Genomic DNA, 14,574 nt, shown 5'->3' with positions numbered 1-14,574 from the left:
TCTACGTTTATATGCAGGACTACACAAATGAAGATGATAACCCATTTTCAGAATTAGTATGAGCAACTCCTCCCACATGCCTCTACTGCCTGCTCTTTTCTTTATTCTTAGCCTTTCTTTGAGAAATTTAGATCAATTTGAGCTCATAAAACATAAAAATCAGTAATAAAAATGTTTACTATCTATAAATGTCTATATTGGAATTAGTTCACTAAATTTTAATGAAACGGTACAACATTCGATTTTACAGAATATTTCAAATTTTTCATTAATGTCTTGTCTGACAAGATCCCTCCTGCCATTTTCAATTTGTATTTTAAAGCAAAAACTGTGCATGTCCTCAACTCACTGACTCATTTGATGAGAGCAACAGGGTGTAATTTGCAAGCAAGTGGAGACCTTGATGAATGGGCTAGCTGAATGTCATGAGACCTCTCAACGACTGTAATTTCTGTCCCATGGTTCCTAGGAGTCATATAGATTGCAGAGGGTAGGTCAATCCATGTCACTGTGACAGACAGGAGTGCCAATTGCAAATGCTTTTGAGTGCAAAAGAACAATGATGCATTCCTATTTTCTTGTGAAGGAGATCATGGGTGAGTGTATGTTGTGGCATGGAAACTGGGTCCACCAAACAATTCAACCCTGCTCCATCTGGGAAATCCCCTTTGTTAAAGTCAGTGGAATCAAAACATGTTCTGTATAAAAGTTGCTTCAACCCCACTTAGGAACACCACAAAGCAGTAAGTGGCAATGGAACTAGCTACCTTGCTCTGGAATAGAAGATTGCACACATCCTTGAATACCTGTCCCTAGCCAAGGTAGCAGCACGGTTCTCAGGTACCTGTGATGACTCCAGCCTGCATGATGTTGGAGAAGATATATTTATGGGTCAAGATGCCAATGATCACCTAGCTATGACTATACTTATTTCCTCACTGAAGAAATTGCAGCATAGAAAGGACGATTTCCAAGGTTGTACAGCCAGTTAAAGGCACAGTCAGATACAGGAAAAGCAGATCCCTGTTCTTGAGACTTGAATTGAAATACCCCAGATCTGGAAGAAAAGATTAAAGTGAGCTTTCAGCACTAATTCAAAGGTGGCCATATTTTGCCTATTATACATAATGTTGCAGTGAACGTAAGAGTGCAGATATCAAACAAATATTTCTTTAAGATCCTGATTTTATGTCTATTAGCTATATACCCAGAAGTGGGATTTCTGGAATATATGATAATTCTATTTTTATTTTTAAAGAACCTCTATACTGCTTTCCATAATGGCTCAACCATTTTACATTTCCACCAACAGTGAACAAGTTTTCCAATTTCTCCATATCCTTGCCAACTGTCCTAGTCTGTTTTGTGCTCCTATAACAGAATATCTCAGGCTGAGTAATTTATAAAGAACAGAAATTTGTGTCTCACAGTTCTGGAGGCTGGAAAGTCCAAGATCAGGTGCCAGCCTCTTGTGAGGGCCTTCTTTCTGCATCATCTTATGGTGGAAGGGCAAAGAAGTGGTGATAGCAAGAGAAAGAGGGGCCTGAGCTCATCCTTTTATAAGGAACCCACTCTCTGATAATGGCATTCAACATCTCTTAAAGGCCCCATCTCCCAACACCTTCACAATAGGTATCACGTTTTCAACACATGACCTTTGAGGGACACATTTAAACCATAGCACCATCTTTTGTTTTTTTTAGAATAGTCACCCTAACAGGTGTGAGATGATATCTCATGATTTTGATTTGCATTTCTCTGATGATTAGTGATGTCCAACATTGGATAATGAATAATGAAAATGTAATCTATACATACAATGGGATATTATTCAGCTTTGAAAAAGAAGGGAATCTTGTCATATGCAACAACATGGATGAACCTGGAAGACATTATGCCAAGTAAAATAAACCAGTCACAGAAAGGCAAATACCATATAAATTCGACAGATATGAGGCATCCAAAACAGTCAAACTCATAGAAGCCGAGAGTAGCATGGTGGTTGGTAGGGATTTGGGAGGAAATGGGGAGGTGCTGTTCAATGGATGTAAAGTTTCATTTATACGACATGACTAAGTTCTAGAGATCCGCTATTAATATTGCGCCTATAGTTAACAGTACTATATTGTACACTTAAAAATGTGTTAAGAGAGTAAATCTCATGTTAAGTGTTCTCACAAAAACAAAAAGACTCTGGTTATCAAGATAGACATTAGTTTGTGCCAGAACCTTGTAATCCCTCTTCTGGTTGAACAAAAATGGAGACATATATTAATGATTTACTCAGGAGGAGGGCAGGGGGCAGTTGGTAACATAAATGTGATTACTGTCCCTTTAAGCTGGGTCAGAATTCCTGCAGAGCCCAAAGGGCCTACTTGCCGTGGGTTGCTCTTTGCATTCTTGCTGGCAGAACTGTCACTGTGCTCTGAGAGGCTGGAGCGTTGAGTGGAGGTGATGCCTAACTGCAGAAACCTGCTCTAAGGAAACACAGTAACATCTCCCATGCCCTCTTCAACTTCAAGGATAATAACCACGAACCTCAGGGCAAATCCCCTGTATGGGGACTAATGAGTCCTTGCAGTGCCTCAGAGGAACCACTGCTGAGCACTAAGTGGAGTTAAGCGGGGACGGGAAGGAAATGGAAGCTTTCCTGCGGTTTGCCAGTCACTCGGTTATATATATTCTCTTATGGGAAATGGCTCTAAACATGGAAAGGAAGCCAAGGTTTGATGCCTGACATCATTTCCTGTTTTCTACCAGTTTTTGTTTTGCCTTGCTTTAAATCAGTCTGGATTTTGTTTTTCACTGTGCTTTGTCTCTCTTACCCAACCAAGCAAGCTCAGTAATTAAAAGGCAGTAACAACTTGTAGATTTTTAAGTACTTTCACTGACAGTATTTTGTGTGATTTTTATGACAATCATGTAAAGTATGTATTTTGTCCACAGTCAGATAAGGAAACAACAGCAGCTCAAAGACAAGAAGGTGAATGCGGTAGTGTACATTAATAGATTGTATTTGTTAACATAGTATTGAGGATTTTTAATATGAGTAGTTGATCACAATTTTCTGTTCTTGTTTTGGTGCTGAAATTTCATTGGCTCATAAAATAAGTTAGAGAACTTCTGTTTTGCTACTCTCAAATCAGTTGGTTTGGCATGGGAGTCACCTGTTCCCTGAAGGTTTCATAAAATTCACCTGAAAACCAGGGAAGCCTGGTAGCACTTGCTAAGGTAAACTTTGATTATGTAATTACGGTAACCTAATTTGATTACCCAATTTAATTAACAGTTATGAGTTTACTCAGTTTTCTTCTCTTTTAAAAATAAATGTATGCTTTTGTTCCAGGAAATTATCAGTTTTATTTAAGTTTTCAAATTCATTGGGATAAAGTTGTTCAGAATATTCTCCTATGGATTTGAATCTTTACTGTGTTAAGGAAATAAGTTTTTATTCCTACTCATTTTATTAATGCTTTTTGCTGTTTTGTTTCAAAACTCATTTGATCCTGGTAATAATCTTGCTATGTAGGTAAGTGACTGTTCTGAACTTGATCCCAGGTCTTACAAGAAAGTTTTCTAACTCCATGAAAGCAGAGATCACAGCTGCTTTGTTTCATACTCTAACCTCAGTGCCCAGCAAAATGCCTGGCACATAGTGGGCACACACTCAATCAATTCCTTAAATTAAATTGGAATGAAGTATTTCAAAAAGCGAGTTTTGAAGCAGATATTAGAAGAATTGGTTAGCAGAGAGGAACTTGAAGAATTTTTAAGGAAATTGTGTGTAAATAGCTTTAGAAAAAGATGGAAAGACAAAATGAGCAAAACTGATGAAGGTATAAATCCAGAAATTCATCTGATTTGTCCCATATCAAATTCTAGGCTTAGATTCTATTAGAAATTATATTACTTCAATATAGTGAGCAAGGGAAACAGTAAGAGGTTAACACCAGGAACACAATGAAAGAGGACAATATTTTTAAAGTTCAAAACCAAGTCCCCTATTGTACCGTACTGTACACAACGGCATTGTGATGGTAATTGAATAGTTATGTCCATTTGTATCTAATGAGACAAAATGAACAAATCTTGCCTTTTCCCTTTTTGAAACTATCTCAGAAATTCTTGAAGCTCCAGGTTCCATTGCTGTCCTTCAGTGTTCAGGCTGGTTGAACATGATTCCAGTTGTCTTTGTTTCTCAGCCATTATTGCTTAGTTGTATTTATTTTGTCAGTGGTAAGTGGCTAGTGTGGCTTCAACTACTTTTCTAGTGTGTTGCTAATGGTCAGATTGGAATATTGCTTGCCACAATTAAGGATGAATATTTCCAGTGGACAAATCCAAGTATAACAAAAATAACCATACAATGATACACAGAGATTCAATATGGAAATTAGCAACATTGGAAGAGTGATTTGGCAGAGGGCCCCTTTTAAAACCCCAGAGTTATAGGAAATAGTCCTGTCATCAATTAACACTTTTTCAATTTGTTTTATGCCAGACATTCTTCTATGAACTTACGGAAGACAAGATAAAATTCCCGCCTTGGTATCCACATGGAATCCAGGAAACCTGTGCATCTGATGGTTTGATACACCCTTTTGTCATCAATTCTTAGTTACTATGCATAGTCTACTGATAATTGTTCATTGTGTACTTTTCGTTACTTAAAATTCTTCAAATCACCCTAAGGTAAGAAAGTTTGGGTTTTATGTATGGTATTTGTAGAACTAAAATAAAGGGGGAATTTGCACCCTAACGTAACATACTCTATGTAATAAACTACCTGGTCAATTTATGAAATATGACTCGATTGAGATGTTACGCATAAAATGGATAACAAAATGTATCTATTCTACAACTAACAGATAAAAACTTTTCATAGAAATCAACAACTGGAAAAAGCAAGGAATAAAGGTTGTCTTCATTGTGGTGACAATTTTATAGCATCAATTTTAATATCTAGAAATGTACGGTTCTTCACAGTGATTTTAAACCTCTTTTCCATTCATATTCTTAATTGGTACAGAAAAATTGCTCTTGGGAAAATCATGAAATTATTCATACATTTTTATTTCACTAATTCTAATATAAATAATGATTGAACTTTCTGTAGATTAAATGCAAGTATGAGATAAGACAAATGTGAAAAAAGGATTCTGAGACAGACTATATTTCATTAATATTTAATTGGTTGCAAATTTTGCTGTCTCAAAAAGTTTCTGCTCTCTGCTTCATTAAATAAATTCTGTCATTGTTCAGCGTAATTATAGCTGTGGGGAAATTTTCTCAATAAAAGCTTAGAAGGAAAAAAAAGAAGCATAACAATTAATGATAAAAGCTTAGTTAACAGTTCTCTGATTCCAGACCTTCTCAGAGTTCTAAGCAGTATAAGTTTCTATGACCTATATGCGTGGGTTAGATGAATGTTCATCACTGATTTAGACGAGAGAGGGTGTCAGGAAAGCAAACAGATTTTTCTCCACTTAACAATTTTCCTATTTATCTGAGCATTTCCTGAATTTTAGGGTTTGCTCAGCTCTTTAAAGTATACTGAGTCTGCGGAAAACATCTGCAGAGTCTACCCTTTCCAGTTCTCCAAATGTTTGTTCAAATCCCAATATAAGGCATTCTAGATCCATTTGAGAAACACTCCATTTTGATCTACTTAGACACAATTTTGTTTAAGCATTTTAATTCCTGACATTGTTGCTTCCTGTCTGTGTGGTTCCTGACCACGGATCAATGATTTGAATTCTTTCCTGCATAAAACCTAATGTATTTTCAAAGGTCAATTTTCCCTCTTCACCTTTTAGAATGTCTTTCTTCTGTGTTTTCTTAGACATTTACTCCAGAGCAATTGGCCATGACCTGAAGATCTACAAGCTCATACAAACATCTTCCTACAGCTCGTACAAAGAGTCCTGTGAGATGCCACCAATTGTATCAGATTCCCCACCTTAGGAATCAACTCATATCTATATTATACCATCCGGCAGATGGGAAGAATTTAATAAATGTTTGTTAAATAAATGCCTCTCACTAGTTTGAGTGAAACAGATGGGCCAAATCATTTATCGTTTCTGATTTGGTGTTGAGGAATAAACTCATGTAATTTCTTTGCAATACCCATTGAGCCACAAGTGCATATTTAGCCCCTGTTTATTACATAGACACTTTGTAGTCTTGATTAAATTTACTTTAATTCTCACAGCACAGTTCTCAAATTGATAGCATTGTCACCGTTTTAAAGATGAATATGTTAAGGCTTAGAAGGAATAACTGGTTTTCCCTGCCACTTTGCCCCAGCAAAGTAAAAAACCAAATAAGAGCTTCTACCCTTATTTCAAAGCACTTTTCATCATGAATGCATACCCCCAAATACTGCAACATTTTCTTTTTTGATATACTAATGCTCTGTTAGAGAAGATAGAGAGATCTCTCAAATAAGATTCAGGTCTATAAGTAGAGAGAAATTCCAAAAAGCTCAGCTACCTAATGACAAAAACTTCCCACAGGGTCTGGCTCTGCCACGCAGGCTGGAGCACAGTGGCACAATCTCAGCTCACTGCAGCCTCCACCTCCCAGGCTCAAGCCATCCTCCCACCTCAGCTTCCAGAGTAGCTGGGACTACAGGCATGTGCGACGACGCCTGGATAATTTTTGTATTTTTTTTTTTTTGGTAGAGATAGGATTTTTCCATGTTGGCCAGGCTGGTCTCGAACTCCTGGACTCAAGTAATCCACCCACCTCAGCCTCCCAAAGTGCTGGGAGTACAGCTCTGAGCCACCGTGCCCGGCCAAAAACTTCCCACTTTTATTGACTTCAAGCTTCTAGAAACATTCCACTACTAGTCTCTTCTTTTGCTTAAAAAACTGAAAGCTCCTATTAAAGGTCAAAATTGGAATCTGTCAGTAGGAGGAAATTAGATGATTATCCCCTCAGCACCCAGAGTAGGTGGAAGTAAGCACAGCTGGAGGGTTGGGTTAGCCCACACATCTGACCAGACACAGATGCCATCGAACCTATACTGTCTTCCTGACACCATGTCACATACCTGTATGTATAGCTAGAAAAAAAACATCACACAAGGTATTGAGGGGCTCAATGTGATTATTCTCTAAGACCAAATCTGGCTCTCCATCTATTTTTAAAAATAAAGTTTTATTGGAACACAGCTACCCCATTCCATTACACCATTTTCTATGGCTGCTTTCACAGTACAATAGCAGAGGTGAATAATTGCTACAGAGATCATATGGCCTGCAAGGTCTAAAATATTCACTAGCTGGCCCTTTATGGAAAATGTCTGCCTTCCCCTGCCCTAGGCCACGTGCCTTACATCACAGCAACATCAGATTCTCAACACTCAGAACTCCCCATGTAACTCCAAGCGCAATACAATTCCAAGCCTTTTACAAGCATTACCCTCTAAATCACTTAAGATTAGGTTCAGTTGGAATTAATAAATCCCACAGTCACACATGTTGTAAAAAGATTGAAATTTATTTCTTCCTCGCATAAAATCTGAGAGGGGTAGTCCAGGTCATTTGCTCTGCTCCAAACACTTTCACAGCCTCAGGCATTTTTGAACATTCCCGTCTACCACTACCATCCTGGATGTGGTCCTCAACCTCACAGCATCCAAGATGGCGGCTGTGGCTCCAGCCACAGAGTAGAGAGTGATCAAGAAGAAAGGGACAACGGAGCCATAGCTGATATTAAGGTATTTCTTGAAGGTGGCTCCTCAACACTTCCACATTTCTCCCACTGGCCAGAACTTAGTTATGGGGCTATCCCCCAGCCACACAGGAAGCTGGACGCCACAACTTCTACACAAACCAAACTCAAGACAGCAGCATGGGCGGTAGCTGGCCATCAAAGACTCTTGCTCCCTTTGCATAGCATACAGCTGTTGTTGGAAGGCCAACAACAATCAAAGCCTAGCCAGGGATTTGATTCCCCAGCTTCTCTAGTAGCTAAAAGTAATCAATGGATTATGAACAGAGACGAGTGGCTACTTCTAAGCCAAGGGAATTCTGAGGAAGATGCACTCTCTCCTCTCTACTGTCCATTTCTTGACACTCCAGATAAACTTGGAAGCCAGATATTGAAGATAATGGAGTCACTAGATGGGAAAAAAACTGGATCTCTGAATTACTAATGAAAGGAGAATCTCCTACTAATTAGAAACACATTTTAGACTTCATGGGCGTTAAAAATGAACTTCTATTGTGTTGAGCCACTTATATTTTTAGGGTTTATTACACTTCCCACAGCACCTTATAATTATGGTTACAATTTTATATTCAGTAATAATGAGAATACCATGTCAATTTCTCATTAAGTCTCTATACCTCAATGTCTACTACACTACCTATTACCATAGTAGCTGCTAAATAAACCCTGGGCAAATTATCACTGAGTAATAGAGGCATGCACAGATACTGTGAGAACACAGAGGAAATCCTATTTAATTCAGCCTGGAAAAATTATATTTATTTTACAATGTAGGACCATGTGTGTTAGAATATTACATTTTATGTAAAGCATAAATATTCCATTGAATAAATTTTCTAGTTAATCTGAAACAGAACTTTTTGTTTGTTCTGTTCTATGTTGCAAATTCAAGTGGTCCTGTCTGTGCTGCCTTGATAGACACCTCATATATTCAAAAGAGGAGGCTTTCAGAAAATTTATGAAGAGTAACTTCAAGGAGAAAGATGAACTTACAGGCAATGTGGGGCTCCTGTTCAGAGCCCAAAATGGTGATTGCATGGAAAACAGAGACACTTTTTTCAAGCTGTTGTTTTAAAATATCCACACCCTATTTCTGTGACAGCCACAGCTTTTCCCACCAACATGGAAACCAAGAGTGTTGATAATTTCTAATGACAAGAGGAGCCTCCAAACAGAGCTTTTTAGTCATAAGTGGATCTGTTAGATGAAAACCTGGCTTGGCCTGCTACCAGCTCACTTTTCTCTCTCCCTTCTCTTTTAGCAAAATTTTCCTATCCTTGAACTTACAAACTGAACATTTCCTAGCATTCTCCCCAGCACGTTGCTGTATGTTTATGTGTATTATTCATGTCTCTCCCACTAAAATGTGTATGTCTTGAGAATTTAGATTTCTCTCTTATTCACCCTTAATGTTCCCCAAGCTCTTGCACAGGACCTCATATATAGTAGCAAATATGTGACTTATTTTGAATGTGGAAGGAACTATTTGGCCTTGAGTTGACAGGAAAACTGGAGGGGAAAAACTACATCTGCTAATGGGATAAGAAGAAAAACAAATTAGCAGTAAAATTCTTGAGGTAAAAAGTGAGTCTTGGAGTTGCAATATTCTGAAATGAGTTCTGGGCTGGAAGGCAGGAGGCTTTGACTCTGGTCCCAGCTTGGCCACCAACTGAGGGACCATGGGCAAGCCAGCTGATCTCTCTGTGTTTCAAAGTCCCCAACCGTAAAATGGTGGTGCTGCAGGAGGAGACTTCCGTGGGATCCTCATGATCCACAGCCCTCTTCTACAGAGAAAAAGGCCATAATTTAAAATAAGACAGGGCCATCCACCAGCCGTGTATCTTGTGTTTTATTTCATTTAATCATTGTATTTTATTTCGGTAGAAGACATGAGTGAGAGCCTCCAGGGAGAGTTGAACAATCTGTGAGATATCGCACCCCAGCCCCCATGGGAAAGTGGGCAGCCTCTCATGATTCCGGACCTGCAACTGTCCATAGCCAAGAATAGTGCCTCGCAGGCCTGCCTGCCCCAGGAGGAGGAGTGCTTGCCCGTCAACCACCATCAAATCCTTTTCCAAAAAGATGTTTTAAATGTATTTTTTCAATTGACAAAAAAAAAGTATATATTTATTATGTACAACATGATGTTTGGAAATATGTATACATTCTGAAATAGCTAAAGGAAGCTAATTAACATATTCATTACCTCAAATACTTATTTTTTTGTAGTAAGAACACTTAAAATCTACTCTCTTAGCAAGTTTCTAGCATGCAATACATAGTTATTAACTGTAGTCACCATGTGGTACAATAGATCTCCTGATCTTATTCCTCCAGTCTAACTGAAATTTTATATCTTCAGCCAACCTTTTCTTATTTTCAGTAATATTCTGCCTCACAAACAAAATATCTTGGCAAGTAACACCAGCTATCAATCTGGAACTCCTGGCCTAGGCTCATGGAAGCAGTGGAGCTTGTCTGAGAAATGGAGGTGCAGGATCCTTCATCTTTCAAGGATGGCAAAGAAAAGCTTGCCAACAAGGGTGTGTACCCCCAAGACTAGAGAAAGCAGTATGGCTCTGGATTCTGCAAGGACAGGAGTCTACATCCTGTCTGGCTCTTTGTGAAGAGGCTACTTGAGAGGCCAAGCTAGACTTAGAGTAACAGGAATTTTCCAGCTTCAACAGGAGACAGTGAGACAGCCATTGATGTTGCCTGAACCAGCGGCTTTATCTGCACAGCTCTAGAACAGCACAGGATCATTAAATTGCAGAGGGCAGGAAGGGCCTCACCAAAATGTCACACAACAGGTTGCTGCCTGTGGGAGAAGTTTCATCAGGACTCCAGGAGCCCCAGAGTTTATGGAGAATCCAGGGGAGGAAGAGCGCTAGAGAGCCTGGTGTTGGGTTTTAGATAATTCACCTCAGCCACCCACTCCACTGCAGTCAAATTGGTCTCCTCACTGTCCCTTGAACACAACAGATGTGCTTCCGCCTCAAGGCCTTTGCTCTGCTGTTTCTCCTGTTGGGAGTGCTTTCCACAAGACTGCACTTGCTAATTCCCCACCTCCTTCAAGAGTTCGTTTCCATCACACCTTCCACACATGGCCCACCCTGAGGACCCTATTAAATACCTGCAGCAACTGCCTCATTCCCCTACCCTCTGCATTTCATTCCTACCCTCTTACCCAGGTCTACCCTTTCTTTTTAACACAGAGCTTACCACTTTCTAACATGCTAAAAAATGTAATTATAAATTGGGTTCCATTTCTGATCTGATCACCCCCTTCCCCCAGAATGCATGCTCCCTGGAGGTAGGAATCTTTGTTTGCTCACTAATAAATCTCAGGCATCTAGAACAGTGGCTGGCACAGGGTAAGCCTTCGAAGTACCCGTTGAATAAATGATGGAATGAATGGGCTTATTAGGAACCTCCATTGGTTTTAAATCACTTTGGAAAGATGAAAGCAATTTGATTGCACTTGCCGGCTGAACCTGAGGAGCGAATCATAGAGAAATCAGGCAAATCCACAGCACCCCGAGACCCTTCAGAATTATTTGGAGAAATGAAAACTGTAGCTGGACTGTATCAGGTGTTCTTCAAGGATAACCCTTGAGTTCAAGAGTCTCATTTTCTTCACTTTACAGATCGGATAATTGAAGCTCAGCATGTAATTAACATGCCCGCCTTAAGTATGAGCACTGTTTTAAGTGATTTACATATTTGTATTAACTTATTTAATCCTCGCATCAACCATGAAGTAGAGAGCATTAGAATCCCCATTTCACAGATGAGTAAATAGAGACATAAATAATGTGACTTTTCCATGTTCACCTGGACAGGGAGTGTCAAGCAGTCACTTCTAAACCCCTGCTGTTTCTCTTATTCCACCCAGACAGGATCTTCCTAGGGAGTTCCTTCAAAAAGTATCTTTTTTTTTTTTTAGGAGTGTCACTCTGTTGCACAAGCTGGAGTGCAGTGACACAATCACAGCTCACTGTAACCTCAAATTCCTGGGCTCAAGTGATCCTCCCACCTCAGCCTCCAAAGTAGCTCAGACCACAGCTGTGCCCCCATGCCCAGCTAATTTTTAAATTTTTTGTAGAGATGAGGTCTTGCTATGTTGTCCAGACTGGTCTTGAATTCCTGGCATCAAGCAATCCTCCCCTCTCAGCCTCCCAAAGTATCTTGATAGGTGTTATACTGAAAATTCTATTAAAAAGTTTTGAATATGTTTATTTTTCATATTATCAATTTTTCCTTGTGTTTATTTTTCACAAAAACTTCAACATTTACACAAAATCCTCATTTTGATGTGTAATCTGACAATTCAGAGTGTTCACATTTGCATATTTATATTCTTTTTGCCATTTCCATTCCATGAGATCTGCTGGTCTGTGAGGTACCTCATTAAGTGCAGCTGTAACTTCCCCATGGTGAGCAAAGACTAGGAAATGGATAAATATCTATGACGGTTCCTCCTTGCAAAAGTGCAGGATTGGTTCAGCAGCTCTTCTGCTGGTGGGAATGGATAGCAATAAAGCAGATCAAAAAGAATGAACTCTCTTCCCTTCCTATTCTAAGAAGATGGTTCCCTTCATCTTTCACCACAAGGGTAATAAGCTCAGCCTCATTACAGAACCTGAGCAGCACCAATCTAAAACATACTGCATTTACTATGAGGGATTGGTGAGGCTAGCCCCTCTGAACAGTGGCTTCAGTCATTCTGTGGCCAAGGTCCTAGGAAATGACTAGAGAGATAAGATGCGGGACGAAGGATGAAGTCATTTTGGTCTGGCAACTAGATGGGGTCCCCAGACCCATGCTTCTCAAACCACATGTAGAGAGAGCAAGTTTGTTTGTCCTTAATCCTTAGAAGACCAAAATTTGAAAAATATATTGCAAATGAATTACCAAAAGAAAGATAAATAAATGAAATGAAATACGACAGTCAGATTTGTATTATTATATTAGATTTATATTAATATATTAGATTAATATTAGTATTAGATTATAAAATTGCTCTGTCAGTTTGCTATTAAAAGTTTCAAACAGCTTATTCTTAATTTCTGTATTAATTTCTGTAACAAGCAGACCCATCAACCACGCTCTGAGTAGCAATGCCCTGGACCAGGCTGGGCAGCCTGAGACCTTCTCTGGGTGGCAGTGGAAGGAGTGGCTATGAAAGGCAAGTTCAACCTAAAGAGAAATAGAGAACCCAGGATGAAGGAAACACAAACGGTATAACTCTGCCTAGTGATCGGGGCAAGAGGGAAGCAAATCCACACAGTGCAAAGTAATATGCAACTAAGCAGACAGTAAAGAGAAGAAAGAGAAGGGATGAGCTGATAGGAGCATCACAGCATCCCCCAAACTTCTGATCAGTACTGTAGCATCCACACAGCTAACTGGTTATACATGAGCTATGTGCTTGGCATCACTTGGATCACAGTTATACAGCATATGAGCTCCTTAGACTGAGTTCCATGGGAGAAGCAATGGCGTTTTCTTTCCTCCTTAAGAAGGAAGGTCAGGGTACTGGTTACATGTCCTTGCATATGTCACCCAAGTTAACCTGCCCTGATTTAAGTAGGAATCTGGAAGAGTGAGACACTCATTTTGCAGAGAACAATCAGAATTGCATTTGAGTTGATGATCCCATCCAGTGTGATTATAGGGTCTCTATAGGCACAGTGATTCCTAATGGATTTGTCTTAGAGATTTCTTTTCCACCATTGTTGCTGATGCCCTCAATGTGTAAATTGATGATCTGCTGCTAATGTCTTAGCCCCGCTACTGTTCCTCTTCATGCCACCTCTAGCTAGTACTATTGGTTTTACAGGAACTGTCGAAGTGGCAGGAAAATGTTTCCCCCCAGAAATAATAGCTTTGGGGGTTCTTTAGAATCTTGCCCTTTTCATTTTATAGTCTCTGAAGGGAAATAAAGAACATATTTTCCCAGGGACTTTACCAGTAGACATTTAAGAGCTGCCAACCATGCACAATCTTTATTAGCCAGAATCACTGTGCCCAGGCAGAAGACAGAACCCACATGCTTCAGCTGTGTCCCATCACTGGATGTTCAGGCTGCCTCCTCTGCATCCTGTAAAGTGTGGGCAGCCTTGCCTCCTGCTTTTCATTGGGAGTTGTATTCCAGGAGCCTGACTTTCAGCCCCAGCTTCATGCCTCATACATTTCAACAAACGTAAAATTTATCATTAAAAAATAACTCTGCACATCCAAATAGGCAAGAACTCCAAAGCAAGCAGATTGAGTTTCACAGCTCATAAACAACTCCCGAATACAGTTGGCTAAGAGAATTGATATCCACGTGACAAGGATTCTTCTCAAAGGCACTGTCCTCAATCCAATCACCATACCAGATATGTGTATTGTGTATTGTCTATTGTCCATTCATGCAAAAACCTTCTGTCTGAAGAATCCCGCTTAATAACAGCTAAGTGTTGATTACTTGGACGATGATCAGGAAGTCACGTCTTGAGCTTTAGGAACTACCAGGTAGAAAAGAGTGAATTCAAAAAAGTTCTAGAGCAGTGGTTCTCAACTGAGAGTGATATCCTCCTTCCTCCAACCCCCTCCTCCTCTCCAGTGACATTTGGCAATGGCTGGAAACATTTCTTATTTTCATGGCTGGGAGTGGGGGTTGCTACTGGCATTTAGAAGGTAGAGGCTACCGATGCTGCTAAACATCCCACGTTACACAGGACAGCCCCCACAATCAAGACTTATCCAGTCCATAATGCCAATGGTGAAACTGGAGAAACCCTACTCTGGGGCCATACCATTAATGAACGCATAATTAATCACTATGAT

The 14,574-nt window shown here is 39.7% G+C and overlaps 2 long non-coding RNA genes across 3 annotated transcripts in view; one reads left to right on the top strand and one right to left on the bottom strand.

Moving 5' to 3' along the window:
* Nucleotides 1–14,574, bottom strand: part of MIR3681HG (MIR3681 host gene) — a 571,233-nt gene that overhangs the window by 382,712 nt on the left and 173,947 nt on the right. The gene's annotated exons all lie outside the window — the stretch shown is intronic.
* On the top strand, nucleotides 2,808–5,994 carry LOC105373432 (uncharacterized). 2 transcript variants are annotated; one of them, XR_922806.2, is made up of 3 exons: nucleotides 2,808–2,983; nucleotides 4,502–4,692; nucleotides 5,843–5,994. It is a non-coding gene; the product is annotated as an uncharacterized LOC105373432 (long non-coding RNA). The 2 variants fall into 2 exon arrangements; XR_922807.2 differs by lacking the exon at nucleotides 2,808–2,983 and adding an exon at nucleotides 3,145–3,231.

This window comes from Homo sapiens, chromosome 2, assembly GCF_000001405.40.
Source record: "Homo sapiens chromosome 2, GRCh38.p14 Primary Assembly".
Lineage (NCBI taxonomy): Eukaryota > Metazoa > Chordata > Mammalia > Primates > Hominidae > Homo > Homo sapiens.
The sequence above is the reverse complement of the archived record's forward strand: the minus strand, read 5'-3'. Positions and strand labels throughout refer to the sequence as shown.